Genomic DNA, 15,916 nt, shown 5'->3' on the forward strand with positions numbered 1-15,916 from the left:
GTGACAGAGCAAGACTTCATCTCAAAATAATAATAATAATAATAATAAATTTTTAAAAGCTGGCATTCTCCTTGACTGTAGACATGTACATGGAAGATTCTTTTCCCAGCTGCTGCATGCCAAAAGAGCATTGCTTCTGGGAAGGAGCAGGCTGCTTTTAAAAACCAGTTTTCTTTTTGAGATAGGGTCTCACTCTGTCACCCAGGCTGAAGTGCAATAGTGCCGTCATAGCTCACTGCAGCCTCAAACTCCTAGGCTCACACCATCCACCCACCTCAGGCTCCAATGTAGCTGGGACTATAGGCGTGTGCCACCACACCAGGCTAATTTTTTTAATTTTTTGTAGAGATGGGGTCTTGCCAGATTGCCCAGGCTGATCTTGAACTCTTGGGCTCAAGCAATCTTGCCACCTCAGTGTCTCTAAGTGCTAGTATTATAGGTATGTGCCACCATGCCCAGCCCAACAGTCTTTTTTTTTTTTTGAGATGGAGTCTCACCCTGTCGCCCAGGCTGGAGTGCAGTGGTGCAGTCACGGCTCACTGCAACCTCCACCTCCTGGATTCAAGCGATTCTCCTGCCTCAGCCTCCCAGGTAGCTGGGACTACAGGCGTGCACCACCACACCTGGCTAATTTTTGTATGTTTTGTATCGCTATGTTGGCAGGCTGGTCTCGAACTCCTGGCCTCAAGTGATCTGTCTGCCTCGGCCTCCCAAAGTGCTGGGATTACAGGCATGAGCCAACATGCCTGGCCCCAATAGTCTTTTATATATTATATATCTTGGCTCCAGGACTAAATTGTAAGATCCCCAAGGGCAGTTACACATTGTCTTTCTGTCCCCCTACAGTACCTAATGTGGAACTTAGCACTCAGTAAGCACCCTAATAAATATTTGTGAAATTGGTGGCTTCCTGCACAACACAGGGTGTCTTTTCCTTTGAGGTTGCTGCTGTAGAACGATTAAAGCATTTCATTTTTGTTTTCTCTATAGCTAAGTTTAAGGTTTATTTTTAAAGACAGGCTGGGCACGGTGGCTCATGCCTGTAATCCCAGCACTTTGGGAGGCTGAGGCGGGCGGATCACGAGGTCAGGAGATCGAGACCATCCTGGCTAACATGGTGAAACCCCGTCTCTACTAAAAATACAAAAAAAAAAAAAAATTAGCCTGGCGTGGTGGTGGGTGCCTGTAGTCCCAGCTACTTGGGAGGCTGAGGCAGCAGAATGGCCTGAACCCAGGAAGCGGAGCTTGCAGTGACCTGAGATCATGCCACTGCACTGCAGCCTGGGCAACAGAGCAAGACTCCGTCTCAAAAAAAAAAAAAAAATACAAAAATTAGCCAGGCGTGGTGGCAGGCACCTGTAATCCCAGCTACTTGGGAGGCTGAGGCAGGAGAATCGCTTGAACCCAGGAGGCAGAGGTTGCAGTGAGCCGAGACCACACCATTGCACTCCAGCCTGGGCAACAGAGTGAGACTCTGTCTCAAAAAAAAAAAAGAGACAAAAATGAATCTTAGCTTTACTTTTTAAATAGCCAGTTTGTTTTCTCACCATTTTATAACATTACATAGCAGATGCATTATCCTACACACACAGAGGTATATTGAGTGTCTGTGTAGAAAGTTGCAGGTCTAAATCTCAACGCGGAAGACCAGTGTGAGAGCTCCAGTCAGAACACCATGAGAGAGTCCAGGCTGACTTCAGACCCCGGTGTCTGTCTCCACTCTTAAGGAGACAGCTCTTTGTATAGTGGTTAAGCATAGACTGTGGAGCCTGCAGATGTGGTTCCATCCTTATATCTGTCGCTGTCAAACGGTGTGATCTTGGGCAAGTTGCTTAACCTCTCCTAAGTCTCCATTTCCCTATCTATAAGATGTGGCAAATAGTAATACCTTGTCCATGGACTGTTCCAAGGGTGAAAAGCGTGATACATAGAAAGCAGTTGGGCCAGTGCCCAGCCCAGTAAGTGCTCAATAAACATTAGCTGCTTTTGCTACCATCATCATCATTGGTAGTGGTAAAAATTAACTTGCAACCAAGTATTAATTATCATTTACCCATTTAAATAAAAGGAAATGCAGAGGCATAGGGAAAGCAAAATAACACCCAAAATATATTGATGACATCTGATACCTTTGCTTCTACATTAACAGATTTATCTTTCTAATTGTGTTTATCCTTGGTCACTGTTAAAATTTACTGAGTTTTTCTGAGCACACATAGTAGTGAAGCCTGAGATACTAAAAATTACAGCAGCTAGGACTTTACGTAGGTAATTGAGATGGACCGAATTGTGAACACCAGCATTATGAATTCAGAGAGAATCTTTTTCTTCTCCTTTGTTTCTTTTAGAGGATTCTGCAGATTGGGAAAAAGAACTGCAGCAGGAACTTCAAGAATATGAAGTGGTGACAGAATCTGAAAAACGAGATGAAAACTGGGATAAGGAAATAGAGAAAATGCTTCAAGAGGAAAATTAGCTGTTCCTGAAATAGAAGAATAATCCTTAACAGTCTGCAAACTGACATTAAATTCTAGATGTTGACAATTACTGAATCAGAAGGCATGAAAGAGTATAATTTTATGAAATTCAAAATTATTCTTTTTTCAAGTTGAAACTTGCCTCTTCTACTTTAAAAAAGTATATAGAACAGTTACTTCTAATAATCAGAAAGAGATGTTTTATAGAACATTTCTTTAATATAAAGTTAGAGATGTCTTCATAGGCAGTATGGCTATCTTTGCCACAGAAACATAAGTAAAATTTTAGAGTTCTGTTTTCCATGAGGTCAAAAATATAATTTATTCCTCAGTCATGGTTTTCTAAATATCTGTACTCCACATTCCATTTTAATTGATATGAGGGTGTTAAAGTACCTACTTAATGGGTTGATTACTATCAAAATGACCAAATTATACCAAAGAACTTAAGAGGAAGCACTTTCAGAACTATTCACTTGCCAGGTATTTTCTAAAATTCCACCTGAAAGCCAAAAGATAAAATAAATAAGTTGATTTTAATGATATAAGCATCACACAATTTTACATTAAGAAATACTGTGCAGGCCATGCGTGGTGGCTCAGGCCTGTAATCCCAGCACTTTGGGAGGCCGAGGTGGGCAGATCACCGGAGGTCAGGAGTTCGAGACCAGCCTTGCCAACATAGTGAAACCCTGTCTCTACTAAAAATACAAAAATTAGCCGGGCATGGTGGCAGGCACCTGTAATCCCAGCTACTAGGGAGGCTTTTGAACCCAGGAGGCAGAGGTTGCAGCGAGCTGAGATCGCGCCACTGCACTCCAGCCTGGGTGATAGAGTGAGATTCAGTCTCAAAAAAAAAAAAAAAAAAAAGCTGTGCGAAAATATTTGTTTTTCTCTGGGGCCTTTTCTTTCTTTTCTTTTTAAACTATACCAGAAATTTTACATCACAGTTTTTATACAAAGTGGGACCTTCCATACTTTTTGTATTACAATAACCTTCAGAAGCCCATTCCCCTTAAAGTCTGTTGTTCTTGTTTTAATCATCACCACATATAAATGTTTTAGCTTTGTCTTAAACTGTGAGTCTTCATAAAATTGTGTTCCTCCGAGTTCACCTTCTAGGACTTTATTGATTAATCCTTCTCTTTCTGCTATACCAGCAGACACATATTCATAGAATATGATTATTTTTAAAGAACAAGGTGAGGAGGCTGAGGCAGGAGAATTGCTTGAACCTGGGAGATGGAGGTTGCAGTGAGCTGAGATCACGCCACTGCACTCCAGCCTGGGTGACAGAGTGAGAGACTCCGTCTCAAAAATGAATGAATGAATGAATGAATGAATGAACGAACGAACAAGGTGGTTTAATGTCAGAAAACTTCCTAAGCATTTGCTCCCCAAACCTTTCATGTTTTTCAAGAAGCCTTTATTACATAAAGGGGAATAGAATTAAAATGTTTCTTTATAAGAAAAATATACATATTTGTGTTCTTGGCCCCATTAAAACTAGTCAGTAGTCCTTTGGCAAAGATATAGTCAACAAGAGAACTGGGTATGAGTCCAGGCATTACTCCTGTTCATAGTTGTGGATGCATGTGTCTGAGCCAGACTGTCTCAACTGGAGTCTCTTGGGTTATAGCAGTAAACCCGTGTATTCCATGAAACCACTGGGCCCATCATCAAAAGGTTTCCACTTGTGGTGCCACAGTTGCTTATTACTGAGTTTGGGTTCCAAGATGACTGGCAACTTCTGAAATAATCTCATTGAAGGAAAGAGTTTCATTTTTTTTTTAAAAGAGTTTGCTGGAGGAAAAGAAGCATGTTAAATGTTTTTAAGCAGCTAAAAGTCCTAGATGGAAGCATATCAGGATGTGTCGGTGCTTGGCTCTTAGTGAATGCACTAAAATTCTTATTGATAAATGTTGAATAAACACACACAAAAAAGTATCAGAGAAAGAGAAAAACCCTACAATGGCAATAGAGGTGTGTGACAGTTATTGCTATCAATTTTACATAATATCTCATTTAAAAACAACCTAATTATGCATTGCCTGTGAAAATAAAAGGATAAAATAAGATTTTGTACATACTGTAAGAATACAGTTGTGCTGTATTTTTATGGATTCATCAAGGAGTAAAATGTTCTGCTTTAGTAAATTATATAGGTAACTGAAGTGTTATTCCTTTAAAGAGCAAAATAATTTATCACCATGTTTGGTGGAAAATTTCTAAGTATTTATTACATGCCTAGGGGTTAGCCAACAAGATATACCAAGCATGAAAACCTGTAAAACTTAATAAAATGCTAAAATATGAACATCACACTATGGAGATTATGCCTCACTACTCAAAGAGTGTGGCTCAGGAACCAGTGTAGCTTGGCCATGCCCTGGCAGTATGTTGGAAATGCCTGCCCCAGACCAGTTGATGTTACTAAGAACGCCCAGGGGATGAGAATGGACTTTATTTACAGTTTGGGAAGCACTGGTCTAATATGCTCTCAGGGAAGCTGAGGTTTCTACTGCTTTTTACTTTTTACCCTTCCACTAGATGTCCTTTGCAGCAGTGTTTTTCTAGTTGGCATTACAGGTGTCTCCTCTGAGGTTCCAGTTATTTCTATACTACCAAAATTAAAAAGACCCAAGGGCTGGGCATGGTGGTTCACACCTGTAATCCCAGCACTTTGGGAGGCTGAGGCAGGCAGATTGCTTGAGCTCAGGAGTTCAAGACCAGCCTGGGCAACATAGGGAGACCCCTGCCTCTACAAAAATACAAATGAGCCAGGTGTGGTAGCCCACACCTGTGGTCCTAGCTACTTGGAAGGCTGAGGCAGGAGGATCGCTTGAGCCCAGGAGATCCAGGCTGCAGTAAGCCATGATCATGCCACTGCACTTCAGCCTGGGTGACAGAGACTCTGTTTCAAAAAAGGGAGGGGGGGCAAGTTTTTAGGGGGATGAGAAATATTCTTGGTAAATCGGGCATTTCTTTTTTTGTTTGTTTTTTTTTCTTGGAGACAGAATCTTGCTCTGTCACCCAGGCTGGAGTGCAGTGGCTTGATCTCAGCTCACGGCAACCTCCGCCTCCCAAGTTCAAGCGATTCTCCCACCTCAGCCTCCAGAGTAGCTGGGATTACAGGCAACCGCCACCATGCCCAGCTAATTTTTTTGTATTTTTAGCAGAGATGGGGTTTCACCGTGTTGGCCAGGCTGGTCTCAAGCTCCTGATCTCAAATGATCCGCACGCCTTGACCTCCCAAAGTGTTGGGATTACAGGCATGAGCCACAGCCTTAATTGGTAATTTTTGAAAAAAAAACTAGAGAAACATTGTTTCAGAGATAAAGCAGCAATTACACTTGTACTCCCAGTGATTTAAGATGCACTATTGTAATCAAGATGATTTGCTTTAATCAAAATATTGTTAAAAATAGGATTTCAGGACATTTAAAAGGTTTCAGCAGAAATCTTATGATTATGTCTGACTTGCAGTATTTTATTTGCCTCTTTGACGGCTTTTTTTTTTTTTTTTTTTTTGAGACAGAGTCTCACACTGTTGCCTGGGCTGGAATGCAATGGCGCAGTCTCAGCTCACTGCAAACCTCCGGCTCCCGGGTTCAGGCAGTTCTCCTGCCTCAGCCTCCCTAGTAGCTGGGATTATAGGCATGTGCCACCACACCCGGCTAATTTTTGTATTTTTAGTAGAGACAGGGTTTCGCCATGTTGGTCAGGCTGGTCTTGAACTCCCAACCTCAGGTGATCCGCCCGCCTCGGCCTCCCAAAGTGCTGGGATTACAGGCGTGAGCCACTGCGCCCAACCTTAATGGCTTTTTGGTATTAAAAACCAGGACTCTGAATGTGCATCAATAATTCAAATAATTTTATATAGTTACTCTTTCTAGTAATAGATACCCCCCTCCATTTTTAAGTAAAGATAAACATTTTTTAATTAGGAAAATTAGGCACATTTAATTTTAGCAAATTTAGTTTTTCAACTTTTTTTTTTTTCTTTTTTTTTTTTTTTGAGATGGAGGCTCACTCTGTTGCCCTGGCTGGAGTGCAGTGGCCGCAACCTCGGCTCACTGCAACCTCCGCCTCCTGGGTTCAAGTGATTCTCCTGCCTCAGCCTCCCGAGTAGCTGGGATTACAGGCGTGTGCCACCACACCTGGCTAATTTTTGTATTTTTAGTAGAGACGGGGTTTCACCATGTTGGCCAGGCTGGTCTTGAACGACTGGCCTCAGGTGATCCGCCCACCTCGGCCTCTCAAAGTGCTGGGATTACAGGCATGAGCCACCATGCCCAGCCAGTTTTTCAACTTTTAAAAATAAAAGTGGTAGAATTTTTTTTTTTCTTTTTGAGACAGGGTCTTGCTCTGTCACTCAGGCTAGAGTGCAGTGGTGGGATCTCAGCTCACTGCAGCCTCCGCCTCCCAGGCTTAAGGGATCCTCCCTCCTCAGCCTCCCGAGTAGCTGGGACCACAGGCATGCACCACCACGCCTGGCTAATTTTTGTATTTTTTGTAGAGATGGGTGTCTCCCCATGTTGCTCAGGCTGTTCTTGAACTTCTGAGCTCAGGTGATCTATCTGCCTCGGCCTTCCAAAGTGCTGGGATTACAGGCATGATGAGCCACTGCACCTGGCCAAAAGTGGCAGAAATTTTGATATGGTTTATAATCAGTTTTATTGTGGGGAAGATGGGCCATTTTAATGAATGATTATTTCTATTGGCTAAACTACCGAGTCACGACATGACAAATACACATGAAGCTTTAATCACATGCAGTTATATACTTCTCACAAATCATCAAATTATTTATCTGGTCTTCACACTAAGGGATTTACTTAGATAAGCCATCGATGATTTCAGTTGTTAAAAGTGTGGCTTTTTAAACAGCATTTATTCAGTGCATCCTGATTTATTTCAAAATGAAAAATTGTTACCTTTTTTTCTGAATAAATAAAGCTTACTTTTAGTGGCAAGGTATAAGTTATAATGGTTGTTCCTGGATAACTAAAAATTCAGGCAAAGAGGACCTGTAAATATTTCAAAGCCATCTGGTATGTAGGCTCCTATTGTTAGAATTTAAACTGCCTCGAGATAGTATTGCATTTTAAGAACACATTTTGCTTTCACTGTAGACTTCTCAAATTCAATGGGTTGTCCTTCATAATAAAAGACCATTCTAACCCACGGTCAGGAGCTCTGGTATTCCAAGGCTGTTGTGGGATTTTTCCTTCACTGCCACCTGCCCCCAAGGAGTGACAATATATAGTGATTTTTCTTGTTCTTCCCTGATAACCATAATGAACAGTGAGTATGCTTTCTGCCAGCCAGAGCTAAAACTCAGCGACGTTAACCAGCTCCTATGACCTAATAAATAGAGATAATAGATCAATTCATCATAATGGAGGTTTTGAGTGACTACTCCTACAGTACCCAGTGTCCAACTGTAATCAGCATAATAGCAATAAAGTGCATAATGTTCTCTGCCATTACTGCACTTAGACAATGAAAAAATCCTGATATAGCAAAATGACCATGTCACTCAGCAATTTTAAACTGTTTCATGGAGATTTACTTTAGGGTATAAGTGGCATGTGAGAACTGAGCTAAATAATATGCCACTATCAAAGGAGTGTGGCACAAGAACACTGTATTGATGCCACTAACAAAATTGTTGAGTGTTCATTGTTAATTGGAGTAACAGAGTACATGCTTGTGAAATTGAGGCATGAAAATAGATACTATTTAAAATCTGGGGCCAGGTGCGGTGGCTCACGCCTGTAATCCCAGCACTTTGGGAGGCGGAGGCGGGTGGATCACAAGGTCAGGAGTTTGAGACCAGTCTGGCTAACACAGTGAAACCCCATCTCTACTAAAAATACAAAAATTAGCCGGGTGTGGTGGTGTGCACCTGCAATCCCAGCTACTCGGGAGGCTTAGGCAGGAGAATCACGTGAACCCGGGAGGCAGAGGTCACAGCTGAGGTCGCACCATTACACTCCAGCCTGGGTGACAGTGTGAGACTCCATCTCAAAAAAAAAAAAAAATCTGGATAACACACAAATGTAATTAATAAAAATAGGCCAGGCACAGAGGCTCACACCTGTAATCCAAACACTTTGGGATACCAAGGTGGGCGGATCACTTGAACCCAGGAGTTTGAGACCAGCCTGGGCAACAGGGTGAAAGCCTTTCTCAATTAAAAAAAAAAAAAAAAGCCAGGCGTGGTGGCGGGCACCTGGAGTCCCGCTACTCGGGAGGCTGAGGTGGGAGGATGGCTTGAGCCCAGGAGGAGGAGATTGCAGCGAGCCACAATCAGGCCACTGCACTCCAGCCTGGGCGACAGAGCCAGACCCTGTCTCAAACAAACAAATAAATAAATAATAATGAGCTTGTGATGGATGTCTTGATGTCCACATTACCATGCTTTTAGAAATGGACTAAACCAGTCAATCTCCTGGCAGCGGGTAGTCATCCTCAAGCGTGGCCGCACAATAGGACCTCCTGGCAAGTCCAGGTGCTACTGATGCCCAGGCTCCCCTGCAGAGATACTGATTTATTTGGCTGGGGATGTAGCCCTTGAGGGTACAGGGTTGTTTGAAACTCTCCAAGACTTTGTAACAGCAGCTAAGATTGAGAACCACGGGGCCCAGGGAAAGAGACTCAAGTGGAAAGTCAGGAGACTTGGTGAAAATACTCAGCCTGACACACTCAAGCTTCTTTATCAGTACAATGAAAGGGTTGGACTGCACGTTTTTTAACAACCTATGTCTAAAATGTCATCCTATTTTTAAAGAGGCCTTTGTAAAATAAATACTGTTTTAGTTCTGTTTTCAAAGTGGGGTTTTGTTTTTTAGTTTTCTGAAATGTACAATATCTTAGGTTCTCACATAAATATATGCATGTATCTCCACTCCATCCACAAACCCCACTGAATGACAGTAAAGGAATGAAAAGAAAAGCTATACATTCATAGTGACAAAAACAGAAGGGTCAGCAACAGCCAAGTGATACCAAGAACATTTTCATGCTTCAGAAGCCTGGAAATGCTCAGGAATTCTGGAGGTGCAGTAACTCGGAAGGCTGAGGAAAAGTTGGTATCAGGGTGGGCAATTTGTGGTCTCTGCCACAATCTACAACTGAAAATCAAGGGCAAGTGGCGTAAGCATATTGTTATGAGACACAGACACAAACAGACAAAATTGCTAAGTTTTAAATGGCTCCTGAGAAGTGGGAATTGGGGATGTGAAATGGCCTTTGCAAAAAGTGTAACAGTGACAAAGTTATGGCAGTGTGTAGATCTGACCTAACTGACTCCATCTTGCTTCTGTGTTCATTCCTGGGCATAGGCCAAACTAACTTTGGGAAGAACTTTAACTTTGACATAAAGATTGTAACAGCCCTTTCCTGAAACAAACCCCATTCTTGCATGGGAACCACACTGCCTTTGTAGGACTAACACATGAGCCACAATATTATGGTTTAGTGTCACAGCTGTTTTAGAATTTATCTAGCAGGTTTTCTGGTCTTTACTGGAAAGCCCAAGAAAGTAAAAATAGCCGGGTGCGGTGGCTCACGCCTGTAATCCCAGCACTTTGGGAGGCTGAGGCAGGCAGATCATGAGGTCAGGAGATAGAGACCATCCTGGCTTACACGGTGAAACCCCATCTCTACTAAATATGCAAAAAAAAAAAAATTAGCCGGGCGTGGTGGCGGGTGCCTATAATCCCAGCTACTCGGGAGGCTGAGGCAGGAGAATGGCATGAACCCAGGAGGCGGAGGTTGCAGTGAGCCAAGATCGCGCCACTGCACTCCAGCATGGGCGACAGAGCGAGACTCCGTCCAAAAAAAAAAAGAAAAAGAAAGTAAAAATAATAATAATAATAATAAAAGAAAAATAGCCCGGGCACGGTGGCTCATGCCTGTAATCCCAGCACTTTGGGAGGCTGAGGCAGGCAGATCACCTGAGGTCAGGAATTCAAGACCAGCCCAGCCAACTTGGTGAAACCCTGTCTCTACTAAAAATACAAAAATTAGCCAGACATGGTGGCAGGTGTCTGTAATCCCAACTACTCAGGAGGCTGAGGCAGGAGAATCGCTTGAACCTGGGAGGCAGAGGTTGCAGCGAGCCAAGGTCGTGCCACTGCACTCCAGCCTGGGCAACAAGAGCGAAACTCTGTCTCAAAATAAATAAATAAATAAAAATAAAAAATAAAAAAATAAAGAAATTATGGTTCTGGAGTCTTGCAGCTAGAGGCCACAAGATTCTAAACCTCCTCAATTGCTCCTAGGGATAACATCACTACCCACTACCATAAAACCTAAGATTAGGTGCTGAAGATATTTTTCAGTCCATGGATTAGCTGGTGCCACCCAGATCAATAAACTGGCTCATCTGGTGTTGTGGCCCCCACCCAGGAACCGACTCATTGCTAGAGCACAGCTTCGACTGACCTCCTAGGATTTCATCTCTGACCCGACCAATCAGCACTCCCCACTCCTTAGCCCCATACCCACCAAATTATCCTTTAAAAACCTCAGTTTCCAAATCTTCAGGGAGACTGATTTCAGGAATGTGAAACCCAAAAATCTGAGACAGGCCTCAGTTAATTTAGAAACTTTATTTTGCCAAGGTCGAGGATGTGTGCCTGTGACACAGCCTCATGAGGTCCTGACAACATGTGCCCAACGTGGTCAGAGCACAGCTTGGTTTCATACATTTTAGGGAGACATGAGACACCAATCAACATATGTAAGATGAACATTGGTGTGGTCCGGAAAGGCGGGACAACTGGAAGCAAAAGCGCACAACTCGAAAGGGGAGAGGGCTTTCAGGTCACAGGTAGATGAGAGACAAACCGTTGCATTGAGTTTCTGATTAGCTTTTCCAAAGGAGGCAATCAGATATGCATTTATCTCAGTGAGCAGAGGGATGGCTTTGAATAGAATGGGAGGCAAGTTTGCCCTGAGCAGTTCCCAGCTTGAATTTTCCCTTTAGCTTAGTGATTTTGGGGGCCCAAGATATTTTCTATTCACAGTAATAATAAAACTCCGGTCTCCTGTTCAGCCAGCTCTGTGTGTATTAAACTCTATTGCAATTCCCTTGTTTTGATAAATCGGCTCCATCTGGGCAGTGGGCAAAATGAACCCATTGGGTAGTTACAAAGAGAGAAGCACTGGTCAAGGGTCTCTGTTGTTTTAAAAGCCTTGTGTAATTTGACTTCTAAAATTAAGGACATGCATCTTTTTTTTTTTTTTTTTTTTGAAACGGAGTCTTGCTCTGTCGCCCAGGCTGGAGTGCAGTGGTGCGATCTCGGCTCACTGCAACCTCCGCCTCCAGGGTTCAAGCTATTCTCCTGCCTCAGCCTCTCGAGTAGCTGGGATTACAGGCACCTGCCACCATGCCCAGCTAATTTTTGTAGATTTCTTTTAATACCTAATTTTGACACGGGTATGGGGAAAAAGCATAAAAATACTGTAGATGGGAGTGTAAAATTGTTAAATCTTTCCAAATGGCAGTCGGGTAACAAGCATCAAAATGTTAAATGTGAGGAACATTTAACCCGACATTTCTACTCTTGGAATTTATGCTAAGGAAGCAATTAGACAAGCAAGACTTTGAGTATACAATAGAAAAATTGGCAGGTACCTATATGTCATACACCAGAATCTTGATTTGAACAAATGGTGGTTCATCCACATGATGGAATTGTGTGCAAATATTTTAAGTGATATATTTTATACCCACCAGATGGTCAAAAATGTAGAAGTCTGAAGGCTGGGTGCAGTGGCTCACGCCTGTAATCCTAAGACTTTGGGAGGCTGAGGTGGGCAGATTGCCTGAGCTCAGGAGTTGAAGACCAGCCTGGGCAACATGATGAAACCCCATCTCTACGAAAATACAAAAATTAGCTGGGCATGGTGGTGCGCGCCTGTAGTCCCAGCTGCTTGGGAGACTGTGGTGGGAGAACCACTTGAACCTGGGAGGCAAAGGTTGCAGTAAGCCGAGATCGTGCCACTGCACTCCAACCTGGGTGACAGAGTAGACCCTATCTCAAAAAAAAAAAAAAAAAAAAAGTAGAAGTCTGAAAATATCAAGAGTTAGTAAGCATGTGAAACAACAGGAACATCGACGTGCTATTGGCGCAACTATGCACTGGCACAATCTCTTTGGAAGTAAGCCAAAACTGGCATTACTTCAATGAAAAGTTGAATATGTACTTCTCTTTGCCCAGCAAGCAGTTCCTCTCCTAGGGAATACCAAATGGTATTAACCACTTATGAAAATAACTACCATTACTTAGTAAAGTGGAAGATAAAAACATCATATGGCATGTGCTAGTAGGTGGCACATGCACGACTGTCAATAAAAGTGATGTTCTAGTGACCTCAGGCTGCACCCAACCCAAATGTGCATCAACAGTAGAATGGAATTATAATGACAGTGTGATAACCATAGCAAAGAGCCAAGAACACGAAAAAATAACAGCTGTGCACAGTGCTGTGAGTGAATCTATGAATCTCATAAATGTAATGTTAAACAGAAAATGCAAGATTGGAGAGAAGACCTACGTAAACTCCAAATACAGGTACAACTATACTACATATGTAGTAGAACTAAAAGAAACAGCTACCATAAAAGTCAGATATTACATAGCATAAGAGAAATCAAGAAACTACAGCTACATAAAACAAGGAGAAGACAGGTCCCAACATTACACACCTCAATAAAACACCCAGTTAAAACTCTACTCACTGGGCCTGGTGGCTCATGCCTATAATCCCAGCACCTTGGGAGGCCAAGGCTAGCAGATCCCTTGAGCCCAGGAGTTCTATACCAGCCTGAGCAACATAGTGAGACCCCATCTCTAATAAAAATACAAAAAATTCACCAGGTATGGTGGCATGCACTTGTAGTCCTAGCTACTCGGGAGGCTGAGATGGGAGGATCACTTGAGCCTGGGAGGTCAAGGTTGCAGTGAGCTGTGATTGCACCACTGTACTCCAGCCTGGGCGACTGGGCAACTGTCTTAAAAAACAAACAAACAAACAAAAACCCAACAAAGACTGTCTCAAAAAACAAACAAAAAACCCCCAACAAACTCTACTTAGTTTTATTTTTGCTTAAATCTTTAATAAAAGGGAAAGCCAGGCACAGTGGCTCATGCTTGTATCCCCGCTGTGGGAGGATCACTTGAGCCGAGGAATTTGAGACCAGCCTGACCAACAAAGTGAGACGCTGTCTCAAAAAAAAACAAATAAAAAAAAACAAATAATTAAAATGTAAAAATAAAAAACTAGCTGGGCATTTACCATTGTGGCAAGAGGGTGGTCTAAGCCCAGGAGGCCGAGGCTACAGCGAGCCATATTTGTACCACTACAATGCAGTGTAGGTAGCAGAACAAGATCCTGTCTCATAAAATAGTAACAGAATTAAAAAAAAAAAAAAAACGACTAACTCTATTAATCTAAAAACAAGAAAAAACAACAGCAAGCTTGGAAAGGCAGTTGCCAGGTAACAGCCACCTCTGGTACACTGAGGGTGAAATTAAGCCCAGCTCAAATACATACAGCACTTCTTTCAGGCGAATGTGTAAGGAAAAGTATCATTCTTCAAAACAGCAGGTTTAAAGGACACCTACGGCTTTTAACTTGTAAATATATTGCATGCAGTGCACCATGGTTATGCAAATGAAGCTGAGTCATTGCCCTATAGATTAATGCCGTAGCTCCCAAGCATGGCTGCAGCCTGCAAGGTAGGGAAAAGGCCCAGTCCAGAGTCCACCCGGGAAACTCAACCAATTTGTTTTGTTCACCGATGCCCTGACTGTGATTTCTTTTGGATAAAGGATTTCTTGAATGCTTTCAAAAATGACGTCCAAGCGCTACATTTGACATAAGAGAAGGTTCACAATATAATGTTAAATGAAATATAAAAGGCAATTTACAAAAATATTTAATACGATTACACTTTTTCTTCCAAAAATGCCCGTGTATGTGTGTGTTGGGCATGCTTTTGTGTTACCGGTGGAGGGTGTCCACGTTCTTGGCGTTTTGAACAAAGAATTGGACAAAACGCACAAAGCAAGGAAAGAATGAAGCAACAAAAGCAGAGATTTACTGAAAACAAAAGTACATTCCACAAGGCTGGAGCAGGCCTAGTACAGGGGCTCAAGAGCCCCAGAATTTTCTGGAATTTAAATACCCTCTAGGGGTTTCCCATTGGTTACATGGTGTACACCCTATGTAAATGAAATAGCGGCCTGCAATCAGTCTGTTTGGTTGTGGAAAGCAACCAATCAGAGGATGAAGTGTAGTTACAAAGTTACACTCACTCCTATGCAAACGTCTGATTGGCTACAGAAAGCAACCAATCAGGCTGGGCGTGGTGGTTCACGCCTGGAACCCCGGCACTTTGGGAGGCCAAGGCGGGTGGATCACCTGAGGTCAGGAGTTTGAGACCAGTCTGGCCAACATGAGGAATTATCTCTACTAAAAATAAAAAATTTAGCTGGGCGTGGTGGCACGTGCCTGTAATTCCAGCTACTTGAGAGGCTGAGGCACAAAAATCGCCTGAACCTGGGAGGCAGAGATTGCAGTGAGCCAAGATCGTGCCACTGCACTCCAGCCTGGGCCACAGAGGTAGACAACTTCCCCACCCCCCTAAAAAAAAAAAAAAAAAAAAAAGAAAGAAAGAAAAGAAGGCAACCAATCAGAAATGCTTTCAATTTTCCATCTGCCGCACAGAAAGGTGGGGTGGGGGTGGGGTGGATTTGCAAAGGGAGTAGTTTACAATCCTTTTGTTATTTACCTGTGGAAAGTTGGGATGTTCCTTTTGACTTAGTTTTTTTTTTTTTTTTTTTTGAGACGGACTTCACTCTTATTGCCCAGGCTGGAGTGCAATGGCACGATCTCGGCTCACCGCAACCTCCGCCTCCCGGGTTCAAGCGCTTCTCCTGCCTCAGCCTCCTGAGTAGCTGGGATTACAGGTATGCGCCACCATGCCCGGCTAATTTTGTATTTTTAGTAGAGACAGGGTTTCTCCATATTGGTCAGGCTGGTCTCAAACTCCCGACCTCAGGTGATCTGCCTGCCTCGGCCTCCCAAAGTGCTGGGATTACAGGCGTGAGCCACCGCGCCCGGCCATTGACTTAGTTCTAGAAAGCCAGCTTGAATCGGCCTTAGGTTCCCTGCCTCCGGACCCTATTCTCCTGCCTCATATGCATAGAAAAGACTCGGGAGGCTTACACCAAAATGGCGGCTATATCTTTTTTTTTTTTTTTTTTTGAGACGGAGTTTCGCTCTTGTTGCCCAGGTTGGAGTGCAATGGCGTGATCTCGGCTCTCCGCAACCTCCGCCTCCCGGGTTCAAGCGATTCTCCTGCCTCAGCCTCCCAAGTAGCTGAGATTACAGGCATGTGCCACCACACCGGGCCAATT

At 43.1% G+C, this 15,916-nt stretch overlaps 1 protein-coding gene and 1 pseudogene across 2 annotated transcripts in view, besides 2 other annotated features; both read left to right on the top strand.

The window, feature by feature from the left end:
• SYAP1 (synapse associated protein 1) overlaps nt 1-7,457 on the top strand; it is a 45,729-nt gene extending 38,272 nt beyond the window's left edge. For both annotated transcript variants that reach the window (NR_033181.2, NM_032796.4), the window contains exon 9: nt 2,349-7,457. Coding sequence is in view for 1 of the 2 variants with exons in the window: in NM_032796.4 (NP_116185.2) it covers nt 2,349-2,476 (128 nt within the window). In the remaining variant the exon portion in view is untranslated. The remainder of the gene's footprint in view (nt 1-2,348) is intronic.
• Nucleotides 9,962-10,020, top strand: RNU7-56P (RNA, U7 small nuclear 56 pseudogene; annotated as a pseudogene).
• Nucleotides 13,595-14,120: an enhancer, noted in NCBI's record as "OCT4-NANOG-H3K27ac-H3K4me1 hESC enhancer chrX:16789601-16790126 (GRCh37/hg19 assembly coordinates)". NCBI's record gives its function as "activates a minimal SCP1, AML or CMV promoter by ChIP-STARR-seq in naive and primed H9 embryonic stem cells {active_cell/tissue: H9 hESC(naive and primed)}" and the evidence as "EXISTENCE:reporter gene assay evidence [ECO:0000049][PMID:30033119]".
• Nucleotides 14,121-14,646: an enhancer, noted in NCBI's record as "OCT4-NANOG-H3K27ac-H3K4me1 hESC enhancer chrX:16790127-16790652 (GRCh37/hg19 assembly coordinates)". NCBI's record gives its function as "activates a minimal SCP1, AML or CMV promoter by ChIP-STARR-seq in naive and primed H9 embryonic stem cells {active_cell/tissue: H9 hESC(naive and primed)}" and the evidence as "EXISTENCE:reporter gene assay evidence [ECO:0000049][PMID:30033119]".

Source organism: Homo sapiens, chromosome X, assembly GCF_000001405.40.
Source record: "Homo sapiens chromosome X, GRCh38.p14 Primary Assembly".
In the NCBI taxonomy this organism is placed as follows: domain Eukaryota; kingdom Metazoa; phylum Chordata; class Mammalia; order Primates; family Hominidae; genus Homo; species Homo sapiens.